Source organism: Homo sapiens, chromosome 4 (genome assembly GCF_000001405.40).
Source record: "Homo sapiens chromosome 4, GRCh38.p14 Primary Assembly".
NCBI classification, from domain to species: Eukaryota; Metazoa; Chordata; class Mammalia; order Primates; family Hominidae; genus Homo; species Homo sapiens.
This window is the reverse complement of record NC_000004.12, coordinates 838,760-860,308: the sequence shown is the minus strand read 5'-3', so window position 1 is coordinate 860,308 and position 21,549 is coordinate 838,760. Positions and strand designations below refer to the sequence as shown.

The 21,549-nt window shown below is 53.1% G+C and overlaps 1 protein-coding gene and 1 long non-coding RNA gene across 50 annotated transcripts in view; both read left to right on the top strand.

Annotated features, from left to right (window-relative positions):
* The window catches only part of GAK (cyclin G associated kinase), an 83,040-nt gene extending 72,008 nt beyond the window's left edge, over positions 1–11,032 (top strand). For 19 of the 48 annotated variants that reach the window (XM_047450032.1, XM_047450022.1, XM_047450019.1 and 16 more), the window contains 5 exons: positions 587–703; positions 8,335–8,559; positions 9,225–9,373; positions 10,241–10,417; positions 10,535–11,032. In XM_047450032.1, coding sequence (XP_047305988.1) covers positions 587–703; positions 8,335–8,559; positions 9,225–9,373; positions 10,241–10,417; positions 10,535–10,636 — 770 coding nt within the window. In that variant the 3' untranslated portion in view covers positions 10,637–11,032. Of the gene's footprint in view, positions 1–586; positions 704–815; positions 948–8,334; positions 9,001–9,224; positions 9,374–10,240; positions 10,418–10,534 lie in introns of those variants that run through there. The other 29 variants (XM_017007992.2, XM_047450004.1, XM_011513430.2 and 26 more) reach the window with 4 other exon arrangements.
* Positions 11,033–13,487: 2,455 nt separating this feature from the next.
* Positions 13,488–20,299, top strand: LOC105374340 (uncharacterized). Of its 2 annotated transcripts, XR_925033.3 has the most exons (4): positions 13,488–13,912; positions 14,924–15,229; positions 15,827–15,877; positions 18,086–20,299. It is a non-coding gene; the product is annotated as an uncharacterized LOC105374340 (long non-coding RNA). The 2 variants fall into 2 exon arrangements; XR_925034.3 differs by lacking the exon at positions 13,488–13,912 and having other exon boundaries at positions 14,044–15,229.
* The last annotated feature ends 1,250 nt before the right edge of the window (positions 20,300–21,549 follow it).

Here is a 21,549-nt window from a genome sequence, read left to right as displayed (position 1 = left end):
GGCATCATTTTGGCTCACTGCAGCCGTCAACCCCTGGGCTGGAGCGATCCTCCCACCGCAGCCCCCCTGGGTAGCTGGGGCCGTCAACCCCTGGGCTGGAGCGATCCTCCCACCGCAGCCCCCCTGGGTAGCTGGGACCACATGCATGAACCACCGTGCCTGGATGATTTTTTTATTTTTTGTAGAGACAGGGTATTTCTATGTTGCCCAGCCTGTATTTTATGATTTTATACTTAGGATATTCTCAAATTTATGCTATTATAAAGAGTATCCTGAAGAGCATTCACATTTTAGATAGATTCCAGAAAGTGGTACTGCAGAATCATAATCATAATGATATGAGCATGGTTTGGTTCTGGGTGTGAGCTGTGAAGCTGTTTTCCCTGAGGAGCAGCATGGGGCATGGAGGCAGCGTCCGCCACACACACCTCTGTCCTGGCTGGTCTCGTGCACGCAAGCCATGCAGGTGCCAGCTCTCAGGCAGGAGTGAGGCTGTCATGTCGTAAGGAGGCGCCATCGGAGGTCCCAGGAGGATGTGTTTCGCTTCAGATGGTGCTTGTTCTAATGCCCTGTGCCCCTTCTCCAGGCCCCCTCTTCTCTCCTGGAGGTCAGCCGGCCCCTTGTGGCTCTCAGGCCAGCTGGACCAAGTCTCAGAACCCGGACCCATTTGCTGACCTTGGCGACCTCAGCTCCGGCCTCCAAGGTAACGTGGAGGGCACTTTGGGGGTGTGGAAGCTGTTTCCTTGTAGGAGGTTTATTCTCGTCTATCTGACTCTGAGCTGCCCAAAGTGAAGTCTTTGCCTCTGTTCACTAAGACCCCCAAGCCCAGAGCACAGTGAGCCCAAGGGGACAGCGTGTCTGCACCTGTTCCAGGCGACTGCCAACTGGCAAGCTAAAACCGGGAGTTGCTGACACTGGCACTGCTGCCAGCCCCCACCGGCATTGTGGTGCGTGATCCATCCTGTCCTCAGGGCCATGGGGGCCATCGGGGAGGCGGGGTCTCTGCATGGAAGTGGGGTGTAGCTGGGCTCTGCTCAGTCCCCGAGGCTGTGCTCGGAGCGTGCTAGCTGTCGGCCACAAGAACCGAGCCCACCCTCTCCAGTCCTGCGTCTGCCTCAGGCCCGGCCCGGGCGCTGTGGTCTGAGTCTCCGGTCCCACGTCTGCCTCAGGCCCGGCCCCGGGCGCTGTGGCTTCAAGTCTCCTTGGGCTGACCTGATGCCCCTGGGTCTCTGGGTTCACTCCCAAGATGCATCCCCCTGGGGTCCCTGTGGCTTCTCAGAAGAAGCGTCGGCGGCGGGGGGATGATCATCTGAAGGGGCCTCCCTTGCACTTGCCTGGCCGTCGGGTGGAATGCTGGGTGGGAAGTGGCTCCACCTTGGGATGCTTGTTGGTGCCGGTGACCCCCGGACGCTCCAGCATGCAGCCCCAGGCTATGGCATCTGCTCCTGCTCAGCTCCGGGAGCATTTCCCGTCTCCTCATCGTTTCTCCTGTCCTTCCCTGAGTGCCTCAAATTCCTGTGAGCAGGTGTCGGCGTTGGATCTCTAGGGCTGGCTTCGAGTCCTCACTCTCTCCCGGGCTGGCTTTGAGTCCTCACTCTGCTCTTGCGAGCTCACATCTGAAGTGCCTTCTGTTCTGTCATGAAGTCCCAAGAGTTTTTTCGTCTTTGAATGTTCTTTTTATGTTTCAGGTGGTTTTGGGGATTTACTATGTCTTGAGGACATCCATGAGCGTTTCTGTCGGTGTGGTTTTGTATTTTATTTCCCTTTGTGGCCTCTGTCTTGTGTTGTCTGAGAGCACGGTGGGGTTGCGAGGGCCGTGCCCTCGGGAGGAGACCTGCGTGTGCCTTGACTGCCCTGGGCAGCCGGCACTGGGGCAGAAGGAGTGGACTCCCAGGGATCCCCGCCGTTTGTGTCCCAGACACAGCCCCAGCCCTCCGCCTGCTGGCTCGGTGGGCGGCCTGAAACCATCCTGCCTTCTAGGAAGACAGCAATTCTGGAAGAGCAAAGCCGATACAACTGAAGGAAAAAATAGACAAACCCAAATCATAGCTGGCGACGTCAGCACTGCTGTCCCGACACATGACGGAGCAGCTGTACTGAAGGCTGCAAGGATGTAGAAGGGCAGAGGCGCCAGCCAGCAGGGCCCACCAGCTGCAGGCACGGACCTTTCCATGCACCGTGGGAGCCTCCTCCACACAGGCCCTGTCCTCAGAGAACTAGGATTCTGCAGCATGCCGTCTGACCACAATGAAATAGAACGGAAGAATCTTCACACTTGGGAACAAAACAGCACACTTTCAAACGACACCTGGGCCAGAGAGGAGGTCTCAAGGGAGACGATGCGTGGAGCTGAGTGAAGATGCAAGTGCAGCCTAGGAAAGCCCAGGGCCCCATCAGGCAGTGTGGAGACACCCGCAGCCGTGGGGGCTTGCTGTGGAAAAGCTGGAATGCCCCAGCAGTAACCTGAGCTCTCTGCACAAGACATTTGGGGGGAAAAAAAGGGAGCGAAATAAGCCTACAGCAAGCGGAAGGAAAGAAAGAATGAGGAGCCACGGGCAGTGCAGTGGAACACAGGGACAGAGGCCAGTTCTGAAGCCCACAGACCTCTCCCGGGGCTGCTGGGAAGAGTGACCCAGGTCATCGATATGGGGGATGGTGCAGGAGGCACCACTGCAGACCCCGCAGGCTCTACGAGGGTCACGGGTGCAGGCGCCTCTGTGCAGTATGCTTGACGACTTACGTGAAATTGATAAATTCCTCAAAACCAGTTCCTGCCACAACTTACCCAATATCAAGTAGATCCTTTGAAAAATTCTATAAATACAAAGAAAATAAATTCATAATTAAAAACTTCCCAAAAAGGAAACCTGCGGACCCACCTGGGCCACTGGAGAATTTCACCGAATGTTGAAAGAGAATGCCAATTCCACCCTCTCACAGGAAGCAGGAGAGACGGAGCACTTTCTAATTGATTTTACGAAGCTCATACTATCACCCTGATACCAAAATCAGACAGAAACAGCACCGGAAAGGGAAACTGGGACTATATTCCCCATGAATATACACACAGATCCTCAACCAAACTTCAGCAAATAGGATTTATCGGTATATAAAGAGAATTCTACACCAAGATCAAGTAAGATTTATTCCAGGAATCCAAGGCTGACATTTCAGAATTGTTAACAAAATCTATTTAGGTTGCTGCGAAAGTAATTGTGGTTTTGCCATTGAAAGTAATCACAAAAACCGTAATTACTTTTGCACTAATCTGATATCATATTAACTGGCTGAAGAGTCATGTGGTCACATCAACAAGGCAGAAAAGGCATTTAACAAAATTCAGAAAGTCAGCACCTTTTATGGCAGCACTGTCAGCCAGTCATGAGCAGAACGTCGTCAGCTTGGTAACAAGCATGTCTAGAGACCCACAGCCAGGCCAGGCGGAGTGGCTCACACCGTAACCCCAGTGCTCTGGGAGGCCAACGTGGGAGGATTTCCTGAACCCAGGAGTTTGAAACCAGCTTGAGCAATATAGTGAGACCCCTGTAAGAATTAGCCAGCTGTGGTGGTGAGCAGCTGTGGTGAGCAGCTGTGGTGGTGAGCAAATGTGGGCAGCTGTGGTGAGCAGGTGTGAGCAGCTGTGGTGAGCTATGGTGAGCAGGTGTGAGCAGCTGTGGTGAGCAGGTGTGAGCACCTGTGGTGAGCAGCTGTGAGCACCTGTGGTGGTGAGCAGCTGTGGTGAGCAGCTGTGGTGGTGAGCAGGTGTGAGCAGCTGTGGTGGTGAGCAGGTGTGAGCAGCTGTGGTGGTGAGTAGGTGTGAGCAGCTGTGGTGGTGAGCAGCTGTGGTGAGCAGCTGTAGTGAGCAGCTGTGGTGAGCAGGTGTGAGCAGCTGTGGTGAGCAGCTGTGGTGGTGAGCAGGTGTGAGCAGCTGTGGTGAGCAGCTGTGGTGAGCAGGTGTGAGCAGGTGTGAGCAGCTGTGGTGAGCAGGTGTGAGCAGCTGTGGTGAGCAGGGGTGAGCAGCTGTGGTGAGGTGTGAGCAGTTGTGAGCAGCTGTGGTGAGCAGGTGTGAGCAGCTGTGGTGGTGAGCAGCTGTGGTGAGCAGGTGTGAGCAGCTGTGGTGAGCAGGTGTGAGCAGCTGTGGTGGTGAGCAGGTGTGGTGAGCAGCTGTGGTGAGCAGGTGTGGTCCCAGCTACTCAGCAAGCTGAGGTGGGAAGATCACTTGGATCGCTTGAGCCCAGGAGGTCAAGGCTGGCCTGAGCTATTATTGCATCACTGCACTCCAGTCTGGGCAGCAGAGCAAGACCCTGTCTCCAGAAACCTGCAGCCAACATCTTTTTTTTGTTTGTTTGTTTTGAGACAAGAGTCTTGCTCTGTTGCCCTGGCTGGAGTGCAGTGGCATAATCTTGGCTCACTGCAACCTCCACCTCCCAGTTTCAAGCAATTCTCCCGCCTCAGCCTCCTGAGTAGCTGGGATTACAGGCATGCACCACCATGCCCAGCTAATTTTTGTATTTTTAGTAGAGACATGGTTTCACCATGTTGGCCAGGCTGGTCTCAAACTCCTGATCTCAAGTGACCTCCCAAAGTGCTGGGATTACAGGTATGAGCCACCCTGCCTGGCCAAGCCAATATCATTTTTAACCATCCTCCTAAAATCAGGAACAGGGCAGGAGTGTCTTTTCTCCACTTGTACTTGTCGGAAGTCCCAGCTGCTGCCATTTGGCAAGAAAAGGAGATCAAAGTTACACGCACTACAAAGGGAGAAATAAAATTACTCCTGTCTGCAGATGACACGATTGTCTGCGCAGGGACTCTGAAGCAATCTACAAAGATCTTTTAGAACTATGAGTTCAGTAAGGTCGCAGGATACCAGGTCAACACACAAAAATCTGTCCTATTTCTGTTTACTTGCAATTATATAAGGAAGCCAACATTTAAAACAGTACCATTTACAATCACCTTTTTTTTTTTTAGAAAAAATAAACATTTAGGTATAAATCTGACCAGACATGTCTAGGGCTTGTGTGGTGGGACTACAAAACCAACCGTGGCGAAAGAGACCAGAGGAGATGCGAGTGAAGGGACGGACGCTGCACTCACGGCCTGGAGGCTCCCGAGTAAGGTGGCCGTTCTCCTGTGTGCATCTGTAGCCTAACGCAGTTCCTACCAACGCCTCAGCAGGGATTTTCCTAGATACAAATGAGCTTACTGTACAGTGTATTTGAAAGACAGATGGACTAGATGCCTGGAATAGTTTATTTTTTTGAGATGGAGCCTCGCTCTGTCGCCCAGGCTGGAGTGCAGTGGCCTGATCTCGGCTCACTGCAAGTTCCCTTACCGGGTTCACGCCATTCTCCTGCCTCAGCCTCCTGAGTAGCTGGGACTACAGGCACCCGCCACCACGCCCAGCTAATTTTTTGTATTTTTAGTAGAGATGGGGTTTCACCGTGTTAGTCAGGATGGTCTTGATCTCCTGACCTCGTGATCCGCCCGCCTCGGCCTCCCAAAGTGCTGGGATTACAGGCGTGAGCCACCGCACCCAGCCATGCCTGGAATATTTTTGTAATGGAAAAATGAAATGGGAGAAGTCACTGTTCCTGGCTTTGAGGCTTACTCTGAAGCCACAAATCAACATTGCGGCGATGGCAGACAGACGCGTCTGTGGAGAGAAGAGAGGACTCAGGCCACACAAGAGAGACCAGCGGAGCTTTGACAGAGGCAGAAAACCCGTTCATCAGATGGTCTGGAGCACCTGGGCAGCGGTAGGCAAAGCCCTAAGCCCTCGTTCTACAGAACAGCTCATCAGAATGCAGGGCCTTTAGGTGAAAACCTTTGTGGCCTGGGGCTGGGCAGAGTTCGTAGACTCGCCACCCAAACCACACCCATAAGAGGACAGGTGGACCCAACTTCAGAGCTCTGAGCATCTGAGCTGCGGACTGGGAGAAGATATTTCCAAACCACCTATTTGACAAAGGACTCATCTACAGAATATAAAAATACAGTCAAAAACAAACTGAAAGCAATCCAGTTAGAAAATGGGCGAGAGCGCAGGGTCCTCTGCCTACGAAAACCAGAGACCTTTGTTCACTTGTTTATCTGCTGACCTTCCCTCCACTATTGTCCTGTGACCCTGCCAAATCCCCCTCTGCGAGAAACACCCAAGAATGATCAATTAAAAAAAAAAAAAAAAGAAAGAAAATGGGCGAGAGACGGCCGGGCATGGTGGCTCATGCCTGTAATCCCAGCACTTTGGGAGGCTGAGGCAGGCGGATCACCTGAGGTCGGGAGTTCGCGACCAGCCTGACCAACATGGAGAAACCCTGTCTCTACTAAAAATACAAAAATTAGCTGGACGTGGTGGCACAGGCCTGTAATCCCAGCTACTCGGGAGGTTGAGGCAGGAGAATCGCTGGAACCCGGGAGGCGGAGGTTGCGTCAGCCGAGATCTTGCCACTGCACTCCAGCCTGGGCGACAGAGCAAGACTCTGTCTCAAAAAAAAAAAAAGAAAATGGGCAAGAGACATGAAGAGACCTCCAGCACATTGACATCCGATGGCCAGGAAGCACAGGCTGAGACACCCAGCATCACCGAATGCTGGCGCGGAGGAGGCCGGAGCGCGGAGGAGGCCCGAACACGGAGGAGGCTGGAGCGTGTGTCTCACGCATTGCCCGGGGGGCGAGCCGCGTGCCTCATGCCTTGCCGGGGGGACTTGCCGGGGGACGAGCCGCGTGCCTCACGCCTTGCCGGGGGGACGAGCCGCGTGTCTCGCGCATTGCCCCGGGGGCGAGCTGTGTCTCATGCATTGCCAGGGTTGAGCCGTGTCTCTCAGGCATTCCCAGGGAGTGACAAGTGGCAGGGCCGCTCTGGAGAACAGGTGGTCGGTTTCCTACGAAGCTAAACACACAGCTACTGAGCTACCGTGGGACATTTATCCCAGAGAAACGGAAACTCTCATTCACACACAAGTCCGTAACAGGCGTTCAGAGACGTGTCTGTTGTAGCCAAACAGTGGCATCAACCCAGGTGTCCTACAGGTGAACGGTTCAATAGGTGGTCTGCACACCACGAGATGGCCCTTGGCAGGGAGGGGGAGTGGCGGATGCCCCGAGCCCTAGTGAAGAGTGCCAGTCCAGAGGCTGCAGCTGTTGGTCCCCTTCTAGAACATAACTAAGATGACAGTCTGGGCATGGTGGCTCACACCTACCATCCCAGCCCTGTGGGAGGTGAGGCCAGCGGGTCTCTTAAGCCTAGGAGTTTGAGACCAGCCATAGTGAGACCATCTCCAAAAAAAAAAAAAGATGACAGAACTGTAGTGAAGCATTCAGGTCGTGATTGCTGTGGTGCTGAGAGGAATCCGTGGTGCGGTCAGTGGCGCGGCCCCGCACTCACACACACGAGTCCAGCTGGCCACGTCTGGTGCATCTGTAGGTGGCGCGGCTGCCCGGGCTCAGTGCTTCTCTGAGGTTATGAGAGACGCCCTCCCTGGGGGATGCTGGGCGCAGGTGCTCAGGGTATTTACAGCTTCCTGCTATTCTGATTATTCCAAAATAAAAAGTTAAAGGATCGGGCCAGGCACGGTGGCTCACGCCTGTAATCCCAGCACTTTGGGAGGCCGAGGTGGGCAGATCACGAGGTCAGGAGATGGAGACCATCCTGGCTAACATGGTGAAATCCCACCTCTACTAAAAAATACAAAAAAAATTAACCGTGCGTGGTGGTGGGCGCCTGTAGTCCCAGCTACTTGGGAGGCTGAGGCAGGAGAATGGTGAGAATCCGGGAGGTGGAGCTTGAAGTGAGCTGAGATCACACCACTGCACTCCAGCCTGGGTGACAGAGCGAGATTCCGTCTCAAAAAAAAAAAGTTACGGGATCAGCCCTGATTTGATGTGCTGCGAGAGGCAGTGGCCACGTGACAGATGGTGGTGGCCCTCTAGGACGCTACAGACGTGGGGACACTGCCCCAACCCCCGTGGACAAGCCCCGGGTCTGCCTTGGCTCCTGGGGGTGACGTGGGGACACTGCCCCAACCCCCGTGGACAAGCCCTGGGTCTGCCTTGGCTCCTGGGGGTGGGGTGCTGCCTCCACAGCTGCCCTGTCCTGGTGTCTGCCCTCCATCCAGAGTGTTCCCGTCGCCCCAGCACCTGGCCTGTGCTCCAGCCCCTGGAGACCTTCACACGTGTGGGTGGAGCCGGCACCTCTGGACGGCCTCGAGTGATCGGTGTTCTATTTTGCAAGCGCATGTTTTCCAATATACGTGGTGCTCTGCGTTATAGAAACAGTAGTTGCCCCTCATGGACAACCAGATGCCGAGTTTCCGATCTCCATCTCCACAGGCTCACCAGCTGGATTCCCTCCTGGGGGCTTCATTCCCAAAACGGCCACCACGCCCAAAGGCAGCAGCTCCTGGCAGACAAGTCGGCCGCCAGCCCAGGGCGCCTCATGGCCCCCTCAGGCCAAGCCGCCCCCCAAAGCCTGCACACAGCCAAGGCCTAACTATGCCTCGAACTTCAGTGTGATCGGGGCGCGGGAGGAGCGGGGGGTCCGCGCACCCAGCTTTGGTGAGTCCCCCACTCTCTGTTGCTGTGGAGTTTGCAGAGACCTCCCTGAATTGGCTAAAGGTAGAACCTATGTTGTTTTCTTCATCTCAGAGCCCAGTCCTGGGACAGGCACGGCCAAGCCACTCAGAGAACGACGCGGTTTCCGATGTGTGTTCACTGGTCTCTCTCTGGGTCAGGCCTCTGGGTCCCTCTTGTTCCAGTGACACCTTCTTGACCTGTTTTTAACAAATGGCCTTTGCAACCCTGTCTTGTCTTCCCTCTTCTTTACTCTGGAGGCATCAGGATGGTAGCCCTGTTCCCGGGGGCAGCAGGTGGAATTGGGCCTGTGTGTCTCTGCAGAAAGTTTCTGTTCTTAACTGGGCTTTGTGGCTCACGCCTATAATCCCAGCACTTTGGGAGGCTGAGGCGGACAGATCGCTGGAGCCCAGGAGTTCAAGACCAGCTTGGGCAACAGTGATACCTCCTCTCTACAAAAAATGTAAAAATTAGCCAGGCATGGTGGCGCATGCCTGTGGTCCCAGCTACTTGGGAGGCTGAGGCAAGAGGATCGCTTGAGGCCGGGAGGCAAAGGCTGCAGAGAGCTGAGATCACGCCATTGCACTCTGGCCTGGGTGACAGAGTGGAGACCCTGTCTCAAACAAAAAAAAGTTTCTGTTCTTTTCTAGCTCAAAAGCCAAAAGTCTCTGAGAACGACTTTGAAGATCTGTTGTCCAATCAAGGCTTCTCCTCCAGGTCTGACAAGAAAGGGCCAAAGACCATTGCAGAGATGAGGAAGCAGGACCTGGCTAAAGACACGGACCCACTCAAGCTGAAGGTGGGTGGGTGGGCAGCTCTTCCTGGGAGCCCAGAGGCCTCAACCCATGGCCCCTGGAGCATCTGCTGTGCCTTATGGAGCCGGCGTCTCCAGACAGCAACCTTTCACCCCTGGAGCATCTGCTGTACCACATGGAGCCGGCGTCTCCAGACAGGGACCTGTCACTGCCGATGGGCCTGGCAGCCCTCAAGGACAGGGTGGCCTGAGGCCAGGGGGGCAGGGCAGAGTCAGGCCCCAGGCTGTGCTGCTCCCCACGTGCCCAGATGGCTCAGCGCTGGTGGGGGTGGGGTGGGCGGGCGTTACAGGAGTGAGTGCCCCGGGGTGTTTGCAGAGACTGTTGAGGGCAGGCGTCTCTTGGGGGCTGCTCTGGGTACTGAGCCTCCCAACCCAGGACGCTCACTGGGGGGTGAGGATGCAGCGGTCAGGCTGTCACTGTGCCGGCCCTGAGACACGCCCTGCTCTGTGGCTTGGCCGATGCCCAGCTCTGCAGGCCACATGCGCCTGTGACCTTGGGGTCCTTTCACAGGCACCAGGGACCATCCCCTTCTCCCTCGGAGTCTGGGGCCTGGGATGGGCCAAGGGGTTGCACCACCAGAACCAGGGTTTGTGTCCTCGGTGAACATCTGGCTGAGACGAGGGTCCCTCTGGCCCCAGGCCCTGAAACATGAAGACCACCTGGCCCTGTGTCGTCCGGAGTGGGCTCTATATAGTTGAGGGCAGGGCGTGCAGTGGGACAGTGTCTGTGAGCCGGGCTGAGCCCACCCCACGTGACCAGGCACTTCCTCAGCGTCGTGCCTCAGTTTCCGCGGTGCAGAGGAGGAGGGCAGGCAGGTGCCCAGGGCTCGGCAAGCTCCGTGTCTCCCGCAGCTCCTGGACTGGATTGAGGGCAAGGAGCGGAACATCCGGGCCCTGCTGTCCACGCTGCACACAGTGCTGTGGGACGGGGAGAGCCGCTGGACGCCCGTGGGCATGGCCGACCTGGTGGCTCCGGAGCAAGTGAAGAAGCACTATCGCCGCGCGGTGCTGGCTGTGCACCCCGACAAGGTGAGCAGAGCTGCCAGGCGGCCGCTTGAGGCCTTCAGGGGCGGGGCGGGGGGGGGGTCCTGCCCCGCCCGCCCCCGCATGCTTATAAGAGGCGCTTACACCGCCTGTCACCCATAGGCTGCGGGGCAGCCGTACGAGCAGCACGCCAAGATGATCTTCATGGAGCTGAATGACGCCTGGTCGGAGTTTGAGAACCAGGGCTCCCGGCCCCTCTTCTGAGGCCGCAGTGGTGGTGGCTGCGCACACAGCTCCACAGGTTGGGAGCCGTCGTGGGACCTGGGTCCCCACCGTGAGGACCCCGTGGGCGACAGCAGGTGTGGCCAGGGTGGGGCTCCGAGCCCCGGGTCACCGCCCGCCCAGCGTTCCAGGCACATGAAGAGAAAGCATTCCAAAGCCTCTGATTGTTGTTTCCTTTTTCTCCTCCCGAAGGAACAGCTGATTCATGCTCCTCCCGCAATTGTCACGTCTGTGATTTATTTGGTGTTTCGGGCGTGGCCTCTGGAGCCCCGGCACGTGGTGGGCCACGCTGCTGGCGCTCATGGGCCCTGGTGTTTGCACCGCACTTTGTAATCAGTCCCGTGGTTGTCTGTACAGAATTAAACTATTTTCCGATGACTGCTGTGTCTCCAGTGTGGATCCACTCGCCCAGGTGCCGTTCACCAGCTGGGGCACAAGGCTGTGCTTCCTCAGCAACCTTGCCGTGGTTGGATTGTTGCAGGGGCCGAGTGGAGAGGAGAAGCGGGTCCCGGGGCTGCAGCGGCTCTGGGCAGCTCTTCAGGGGGCCATAGAGCCCAGCCAGGGCAAGGCCAAGGGCGGGGGCCCCTGCAGTCCCCAGACCCCCTTCCTCCCCTCGGCCCCGGGACTCCTCTCTCCTCTCCACTTGGCCCCTGCCCCTGGGCCCTGGACCTAGGAGCAAGGGTGGGCTCCACACTGCCCCTGTGCCATCCCCGCAGGGCCAAGGTGGCCTCCGGGCTGTCGGGCTGGTGGAGGACCAGGGGCCCCTGGAAGGAGAAGGTGACCATGGTGAGCCCCCACCCCACAGCAGACTCGAGGAGGCCCTGAATCATAGCCCTGAACTCACCGCCAGGCTCTTCCTGTTTTCAGAGAATAATGACTGCACGTTTGCTATGCACCCGCCACTATTTTTAGCTCTTTTAAAAAATAATGAGAAGCTAAATAGGTGCTGAGATTTTCACATCAAGGTCGTCTGGATTCCGGCTCCGGGTCTGGCCACCCCAACTCAGATGCTCCTGCTCTGGGGGCAGCTCGGGCCACGCTCCCTCTAGGCTCTCCAGCCTCAGCCCTGTGCTGTGCGGCCCCCTCCTCTCCTGCTGCCGCCCACGTCACACCCAAGCTCCAAACTAATCCCCCAGACCCCGCCCCAGACCCTTAACTCTGAAAGCTTGGGTCGCTTCTCCCCGGCCTGTGGCAAACCCAGCCACCCTGCCTGGACAAGTGAGTCCACCTCCCTCTGGCTGGCTGCACACCCTTCCTCCGTCAGGGGCCTGAGCCTCTGGTTATGTGTGGAGAGCAGCGGGTGGCCGGTCCAGGCTAGGCCGAGACTGCGGAGGATGGAGGAAGGTGTGGAGTGCAGCAGGTCACTGGTCCGGGGTAGGCTGAGATGGAGTGCATAGAATGGAGGCCAGGACGGTGGGGTCTGGGTTGCAGGACAGGAAAACCCCCATCCAGGCTGACCCAGCTCAGAAGGGAGTCTGTGGCCCCCACCTGGCCATGCTACCGCCAGAATTTCTCCTCTTCCAACCATTCAGCTCAGCATGGAGACACGCAGGTGCACAGGCATGTACAAGCCGTGCGCACACGCAGACGGCTACACAAGGTCACACACGGTGCCACCCAGACACCTGCGCACACGCAGACATGGCTGCACAGGGTCACGCACGGCGTTACCCGGACACCTGCGCACATGCAGACGGCTGCACAGGGTCACGCATGGCGCCACCCGGACACCTGCGCACACGCAGACACGGCTGCACAGGGTCACGCACGGCGCCACCCGGACACCCACACGTGAAAGGCCCAGGATGCACCATCTTCCCAGCCGGCCACTGGCCTGAGTGCTACCCACAGTCACTGAGGCTCCATTCTGCACGTGGGAGCCGGGTCTGCGGTCACCGAGCCTGTGACTATGCTCCGTCCTGCACGTGGACACAAGGTCATCCTTGCCGGGTTGTAATGCATAGACCACGTGAAGCTTGAAGAGAGACTGCACCTGTGTGACACCCCCTTGTGTGACAGCATCTTCTCGGTGACTTCACGGAGATACAAATGGCAGCGGCCAAGCAGCGATGCTCACATCACTGGTCCTGGAGGAAATGCAAGTTGGAGCCACAGCAAGATGCTGCCGCACCCACTAGGGCACCCAGTCAAGACCCACCAAGCCAAGTGTCCCCACGCATGTGGAGAAGCCCACACCCTCACGCAGTCTGGGTGGGAGCTTAAAATGGCACAACTGCTTTGGAAAACCGCTTGGCAGTCTTTTTTTTTTTTTTTTTTGAGACGGAGTCTCGCTCTGTCGCCCAGGCTGGAGTGCAGTGGCGGGATCTCGGCTCACTGCAAGCTCCGCCTCCCGGGTTCACGCCATTCTCCTGCCTCAGCCTCCCAAGTAGCTGGGACTACAGGCGCCCGCCACTACGCCCGGCTAATTTTTTGTATTTTTAGTAGAGACGGGGTTTCACCGTGTTAGCCGGGATGGTCTCGATCTCCTGACCTCGTGATCCACCCGCCTCGGCCTCCCAAAGTGCTGGGATTACAGGTGTGAGCCACCGCGCCCGGCCGGCAGTCTTTTAAAAAGCAAAATAGACGCCGGTGCGGTGGCTCACACCTGTAATCCCAACACTTCGGGAGGCGGAGGCGGAGGCAGGCGGATCACCTGAGGTCAGGAGTTGGAGACCAGCCTGACCAACATGGAGAAACCCCGTCTGTACTAAAAATACAAAATTAGCCGGGCATGGTGGCACACACCTGTAGTCCCAGCTACTCGGGAGGCTGAGGCAGGAGAATCGCTTGAACCTTGAGAGGCGGAGGTTGCAGTGAGCCGAGATCGCGCCATTGCACTCTAGCCTGAGCAACAAGAGCAAAACTCCATGTCAAAAAGAAAAAAAAAAAGCAAAATAGAAATTTCGTACACAGTTTAGCAATCTGCTCCTAGGTGTTGACCCAAGAGAAATGAAAGAGCAAGGCCACACAGACGTGTTCAGGAACAACCCATGATCCACGCACAGCTGGACATACGAAGGAGCTGTGTGCGTCCACGCCACGGGGTCCTGCTCAGCATGGAGAGGGGTGAGCTGCTGGTGTGACGGCGCCACGGGGTCCTGCTCAGCATGGAGAGGGGTGAGCTGCTGGTGTGACGGCGCCACGGGGTCCTGCTCAGCATGGAGAGGGGTGAGCTGCTGGTGTGACGGCGCCACGGGGTCCTGCTCAGCATGGAGAGGGGTGAGCTGCTGGTGTGACTGCAGCACAGGGCATGCCCAGGTGTGTTAGTCTGTTCTCACACTGCTATAAACACATATCTCAGACAGGGTGATTTATAAAGAAAAGAGGATTAATGGACTCACAGTTCCACATAGCTGGGGAGGCCTCATGAAAGTTACAATCATGGCGGAAGGCGAAGGGGAAGCAGGCACGTCTTAGCTGGTGGGAGGAGGGAGAGCGAGTGAGTAAAAGGGGAAAGTGCTGCACGCTTCCAAACAAGCAGATCTTGTGAGAACTCACTATCCGGAGAATAGCAAGGGGAAGTCTGCCCCAGGATCTAGTCACCCCCCAGCAGGCCCCTCCCCTGACATGTGGCGATTACAGTTTGGCAGGAGATTTGGGTGGGGACACAGATCCAAACCATACTGTCAGAAGAGCAGCAAGCTCAGTAAATGGGGCCAGATCAAAAGGAGGGAGGTAGTGAACGACTCCATTCGTGTAAAATTCCAGCAAATGTGAAGTCCGCGACAGGCCAGCAGCAGATCCGTGGCTGGCGGGTGTGGGCGGAGGAGGATGTGCTGGCTTCAGGCAAGCACGCGTCAAATGCCTCAAACTGTGCTCCTCAAACGTGTGCAGATTGCATTTCTGTCCTGCGGGGGCTCAGACCCTCAATAGTAAGCTCCAGTGGGTTAAGCAGGCTGCTTTCCAGGTGGCCCGTGACACCCCCCCATCCCCCAGATGTCCAGCTGCCCTCAGGCCACCTCCCTGGGCTCCCATGGGCCTCCTCTCCCTGTGCCCCCAGGGAGCTCCAGGGCTCTGAGGAAGGCCAACCCCAGAGGTGTGGGCATCTGCCCCAAGATGGAGGCCCCCCCCAACTCTGTGGGCCTCCAAGTGGGAGGACTTGGCTGCAAGGAGATGAGGGGGGCACTGAGTCATGCAGGAGGCCAGTGTGGCTGGAATGAGGTTCAGATCTGGGGGAGGGGCTGATTTTGTCCCTGAGCTGCTTTTAGCAGAAAAGCTGAGTGCTGAGGTCAGCTGAGGCTGAAGTCCTGCTTATGTCTTCATCTCCAGGAGCTCATCCCCGCTCCTGCACTGTGGCCATAGCTCCAGGCAGCCGCGCGCCGACCCCACCCACAGGCCTGGGTGGAGCTGAAGGTCTAAGCCCCATGCCAGACCCTCATCCAGGCAGCGACCCCTGGGCACAGGGGGCATGGCAGGGACACCGATTTCCTCCTCCTTCTGTCAGTTTGGACAAAGATTCCAGGGCCACAGACCACCGTCTGGCCGCCCCAAACTGCTTTCTCCAAAAGGGCTTGCCCCAAAGCTTTGCCCACCGAGTCCTGGAGCTGCTGAGCGTCCTGCCGGGCCTCACCTTAGGTAAGAAACAGCAGCAGCCTCAGCAGCTGGCTGTTCTCACCTTCACTACCTCCAGGAGCTCTGAGGAAAAGCACAGCAACCCAAGGGCAGGGGGAGGCTGTGCTGCCAGTTGGGGGTGGCCCCTGTGCGCATACCAGCATCAGAGCCCCTTCAGATGGGGTGGGAACCTGCCCCCAGCCCCAGGTGTGCCGGGCAGTCATGCGCAAGCTGAGGATGCTGGTCTCAGGTCTAGGGCACCCCCTTTGTGGAAGAGGCTGCAGACCCCGTAGATGTCATGGGCCTCAGATTAGGATAGAGGGGGCTTCCGGTTGGTCTAATGACTGGAGAAGGGCCCAGAAGAGGCAGGTCCATGCGGCACAGCCCCCACATTCTGGCCTTGGCACTTCCCCAAGATCAAACTCCAAGTCCCTGCTGCCAGCCCCCTCAGCTGCTGATGTGGTTGGCTCTGTATCCCCATCCGAATCTCATCTCGAATTGTAATCCCCACATGTTGAGGGAGGGAGGTGATTGGATCCTGGGGGTGGTTTCCCCCTGGTGAGTGAGTGCTCACAAGATCTGGCTGTTTGATAAGTGTGAGGCTCTTCTCTCTTTGTGCAGTCTCTCCTGTCGCCTTGTGAGGAAGTGCCTGCTTCCCCTTCCACCATGATTGTAAGTTTCCTGAGACCTACCCAGCCATGGGGAACTGTGAGTCAATTAAATCTCTTTCCTTTATAAATCACCCAGTCTTGGGTATTTCTTTTTTTTTTGAGACGGACTCTCGCTCTGTCCCCCAGGCTGGAGTGCAGTGGTGCAATCTCAGCTCACTGCAAGCTCTGCCTCCCAGGTTCATGCCATTCTCCTGCCTCAGCCTCCCGAGTAGCTGGGACTACAGGCACCCGCCACCACGCCCACCAAATTTTTTGTATTTTTAGTAGAGATGGGTTTCACCATGTTAGCCAGGATGGTCTCGATCTCCTGACCTCGTGATCTGCCCACCTCAGCCTCCCAAAGTGCTGGGATTACAGGATTGCAGGCGTGAGCCACCATGCCCGACCTTTATTTATTTATTTATTTATTTATTTTTTAAGATGTAATCTTGACCTGTCGCTCAGGCTGGAGTCAGTGGAGCAATCTCGGCTCACTGCAACCTCCGCCTCCCAGGTTCAAGTGATTCTTCTGTCTCAGCCTCCTGAGTAGCTGGGATTACAGGCACACGCCACCATGCCCGGCTAATTTTTTTTTTTTTTTTTTTGTATTTTTAGTAGAGATGGGGTTTCACCATATTGGCCAGGCTGGTCTTGAACTCCTGAGATTGTGGTCTGCCCGCCTCAGCCTCCCACAGTGCTAGGATTACAGGCATGAGCCACCGCACCCGGCCTTGGGTATTTCTTTATAGCAGTGTGAGAAGAGACTGATAGAGCTGCATATCCAGAGACCCTGGCTACGCCCAGACTCCTTTCCTGGGCCAAGTAGAGGGGTTGCTGTGGTTCCTGCTGCAACTCTGCCAACCCCCAGCCCAGGAAACCTCACCTCCGTCCAGATGTCCCACTGGCCTCACTTCAGGCTTTGCTCTGGGAAGGCGCCTGGGGACCTGTCACCACCACCTGCTCTGCTCGGTGCTGAAACGCTAGGATCATCCATGAGGCATGAACAGCAGTCCCCATGGGGCCCTCACATCACAGCCAAGTCACATTGTCCATGCTTGCTGGGAAGCCTTGATGGAGTGACAGGGACCAGACTAAAAAACTCAACAAAATGTGCAAAACCATTTGTTTTTGTTTTTGAGATGGAGTCTCACTCTGTCCCCCAGGCTGGAGTGCAGTGACGTGATCTCAGCTGACTGCAACCTCTGCCTCCCGGGCTCAGGTGATTCTCCTGCCTCAGCCACCTGAGTAGCTAGGATTACAGGCATGTGCCACCACACCCGGCTAATTTTTGTATATTTGGTAGAGACAGGGGTTCCACCATGCTGGCCAGGCTGGTCTTGAGCTCCTGATCTCAAGTGATCCACCCACCTCAGCCTCCCAGCGCGCTGGGATTACAGGCCTGAGCCACTGCGCCCAGCCAAAACAATTGTTTTTGGACCTTGAGGAGCATGCAGCATAGAACAGGGGCCCTGAGAAGAGGGAGACACACATTCCTGGCTCGCTGCTGAGGCCACTGTGGCATGGGACAGTGGCCCTGAGGGGAGCAGAAGGAGGTCAGAGTTCAGGGGTCCTGAAGCAGAGCCCAGCCAGGAGTGATCTCTGGGGAGAAGGAACCCTGAAAATCTTCCTTGGCCTCCCCTATGTTGCTAAGTACTGGGATATAGGATGTAAAACCCTACAAAGTCAGGCAGGAAGACTGGGAGTTGGGAGCTGAACAGTCCACAGGAAATGAAAATGACACCAGATGGGAACACCATCTACATTAGGGACCCAGAGGGCTGGAAGTATGAATATGTTGGTAAATAAGACCCTTTACTCATTTTAACATTTATTTCTATAATAATTGTGCCTCACTGTAATCCCAACACTTTGGGAGACTGAGGCAAGAGGATCTCTTGAGCCCAGGAGTTTGAGACCAGCCTGGGCAACATAGCAAGACCCCATCTCTAAAAAATAATAATTAGTTGGGCATGGAGACGGCACCTGTAGTCCCAGCTACTGGGGAGGCTGAGGCAGGAGAATCGCTTGAGCTTGGGAGGTTGAAGCTGCAGTGGGTCATGACCGCACCACTGCAGTCCAGCTTGGGTAACAGAGCAAGACTCCATCTCAGAAAAAACAATAGTAATTTTAAAAATAATAAAAATAATTGTTAAGGCTAAAACAATAACAATGCATGGTGGGGCTTATGGCATACCTAGAAGTAAATTATCATGAGCTTCTTAATTTACAGAGGTGTGTGTTACTCAGAGGCTGGTGGAGATGAGATACACTGCACGTCACAAACCCTGGAGGGACCTGTGAAACTGAAACAGATGTTGCTGGTAACACAACAGAGGACAAAAACATGGACTCCTTAAAGATAGTCAACCAATCCAAAAGAAATCAGGAAAAGAAAAAAACAAGGAACAAAGAATAAATGAAAAAAATACAAAACAAATAGCAAGGTAGTATACATAAATTAAAATGTAAAAATTCCAAATTAAAGGCAGATATTTTCAGACTGAATAAAGGGCAATATTCAGCTATATACTGTGTATATAAATCCACTTTACATATAAAGACACGTATAGATTAAATGTGACAAGATGGAAATAATACAACATACAAACATTGATTATAATTAAGCTGATGTGGCCATACTAACATTAGACAAAGCAGACTTCAGAACAAGGAATATTAACAGAGAAAAAGAAAAGCAGCCCATAATGGATACAGGGTTCTATGTATTAAGAAAATATAGGCCGGGTGCGGTGGCTCACGCCTGTAATCCCAGCACTTTGGGAGGCCGAGGTGGGCGGATCACGAGGTCAGGAGATCGAGACCATCCTGGCTAACATGGTGAAACCCCATCTCTACTAAAAATACAAAAAATTATCTGGGTGTGGTGGTGGGCACCTGTAGTCCCAGCTACTTGGGAGGCTGAGGCAGGAGAATGGCGTGAACCCAGGAGGCAGAGCTGGCAGTGAGCCGAGATCACGCCACTGCACTCCAGCCTGGGTGACAGAGAGAGACTCCATCTCAAAAAAAATAAATAAATAAATAAAAAAGAGAAAAGAAAATATAATGTTCCCAAATATGTACGCACACAATAACAGAACTTGGAAATATATAAAACAAAAACTGACAAAAGGAGAAATAGGTAAATTCACAATTATAATTGGCTACCTCAACACTCCTCTTTCAGTAATTGATAGAACAAGTAGACATAAAATCAGTAAAGATATAAAAGATTGAAAAAACAAACTTCATCTAATGTATATTTATAGCATATTCCATGAAAATACTGAAGAAATCATTAAGTACATATGAAACATTCATAAAGATAGACCATATTATGAATCATAAAAAAAAAATTTTAAAAAGACTGAAATAATACAATGTTCTCTGACCAGAATAGAATTAAATTAGAATTCAATTGCAGAAAAAAAAATCTCAACTACCCCCACCCCCAGCTATTTGAAAATTAAATAACACACTTTTTTCTAAAATAACTCATGAGTCAAAGAAAAAATCACAAAGTAAATTAGAAATACTTGATTAAAATGAACATCAATGTGTCAAAATTTGCGAGAGACAGAACGATGCTTAGAGGGAGAAATTATAGGTTTAATTTCTTACATTAGAAGAGAAAAAAGACCAAAAAGTAAGAGTAAATTAAACCCAAAGTAAGTTGAAGAAAGAAAATACAGAGGAGAGCCTAAATCAATAGAATAAAAAATAGAGAAAAATCAATGGACTCAAAAGTTTGTTTTTTGAAAAGATAAATAAAATTGATAGATTTCTAAGTAGACTACTCAAGAAAAAATTACCAATATCAAGAATAAAAGGGGAGCTGTTACAACAGCACTTACAGGCATTAAAAGGATAATAAGGAATATTATGAACAATTTTATGCCAAAAATTTTAATAATTTACATAAAATAGACAAATTCTTTGAAAGGCATAAATTACCAAAACTGACTTATAAAGAAATTTTGAAATATCAGAATAGGACTATATCAAATAAATGGAACTTATAATTAAAAACCTTCTCAAAACAACAACAACAAAGATTAAAAAACTCCAGACAGGTTTACTTTGAAATCTATCAAACTTTCAAGGAAATAGTAATACCAAATCTATACAAACTCATTCAGAGAACAGAGGAGGAAGACATACTTCCCAACTTAGTCTATGAAGTCAGCATTCTACTGATACCAAAACCAGACAAAGACATTACAAAGAAAGAAACCTACAGGCCAGTCCAGTGTCTCTCAGGAATGAACACAGATGCAAAAATGTTTAACAAAATGCAATCAAATTGGATTCAACAATATATAGAAGGTGGGGGGGGGATTGTATCCAGGAATGTAACATTCACTTAACGTTCAAAAATGAGTCAGTGGAAAATAGTGTTTTATCTGGGAACTGCAAAATTCATAACAAAATAAAATACATAAACACTGAATAAAATGAGTCAATGTAATTCACCACATTAACCGAATAAAGGAGAAAACTCATGAGGTCATCCCAATAGATACAGATAAAGCATTTTACAAAACTGAACTATTTGTGGTAAAAACCGCTATAGTTTGGATGTGGTTTGTGCTCACCAAAACTCATGTTGAAATTTGGTTCCCAGTGTGGTAGTGTCAGGAGGTGGGGCCTAGTGGGAGGTGTTTGGGTCATCGGGGCAGATCCCTTATAAATATATTAATGCCTTCCTAAAGGGTTGTTAAAAAGAGTCTACTGCAAGAGTCTTCCCCACCCCATCCATCTGTTTCTCTCTCCACTCTTGCCATGTGATCTCTGCACATGCTGGCTGCCCTTCTGCTTTTGGCCATGAGTGGAAGCAGCCTGAGGCCTTCACTAGATGAAGCTGCCCAATCGTGAATTTCTCAGCTGCCAAAATTGTGAGCCAAATTAACCTCTTTTCTTTACAAATTACCCAGCCTCTAGTCTTCTGTTATAACAACAGAAAACAAAGACCAAAACTCATAGCAGGCCAGGCACAATGGCTCATGCCTGTAATCCCAGCACTTGGAGAGGCTGAGGTGGGTGGTCACCCGAGGTCAGGAGTTCGAGACCATCCTGGCCAACATGGTGAAACCCTGTCTCTACTAAAAATACAAAAAATTAGCCGGGTGTGATGGTGAGCGCCTGTAATTCCAGCTACTCCAGAGGCTGAGGCAGGAGAATCACTTGAACCTGGGAGGTGGAGGTTGCAGTGAGCCGAGATCACAACATTGCTCTCCAGCCTGGGCAAGAAGAGTGAAATTCCATCTCAAACAAACAAACTCATAGCAAACTAAGGATAGAAGGGAATTTCCTTAACCCAAGGAAGGGCACCTCTGAAAAGCCTGCAGCTACCATCATACTTAATGGCAAAAGAATGAATGCTTCCCCTGAGAAAAAGGCAAGGATATCTATCTCATCATCTCTTCAGCATTGTACCAGAGGACTGATCCCAGCCAATAATAGGGGAAAGGCATAGAGAATGGAAAGGAAAAGGAAAACTGTTTTTAGACACGTACACGATGACTAGGCTTGTTTAGAAAATCCTGAGGAACCTACAAAATATATAACTAGAACTACTAAGCAAGCATAGCAAGCTTGCAGGATACAAAGGCAATATCAAAAATCAATTTTGTGGAAAACAAGGTAAATATCTTAAAATGAAGTCAATAAGAAAAAAGAAAAAATCATTTTTGTGCC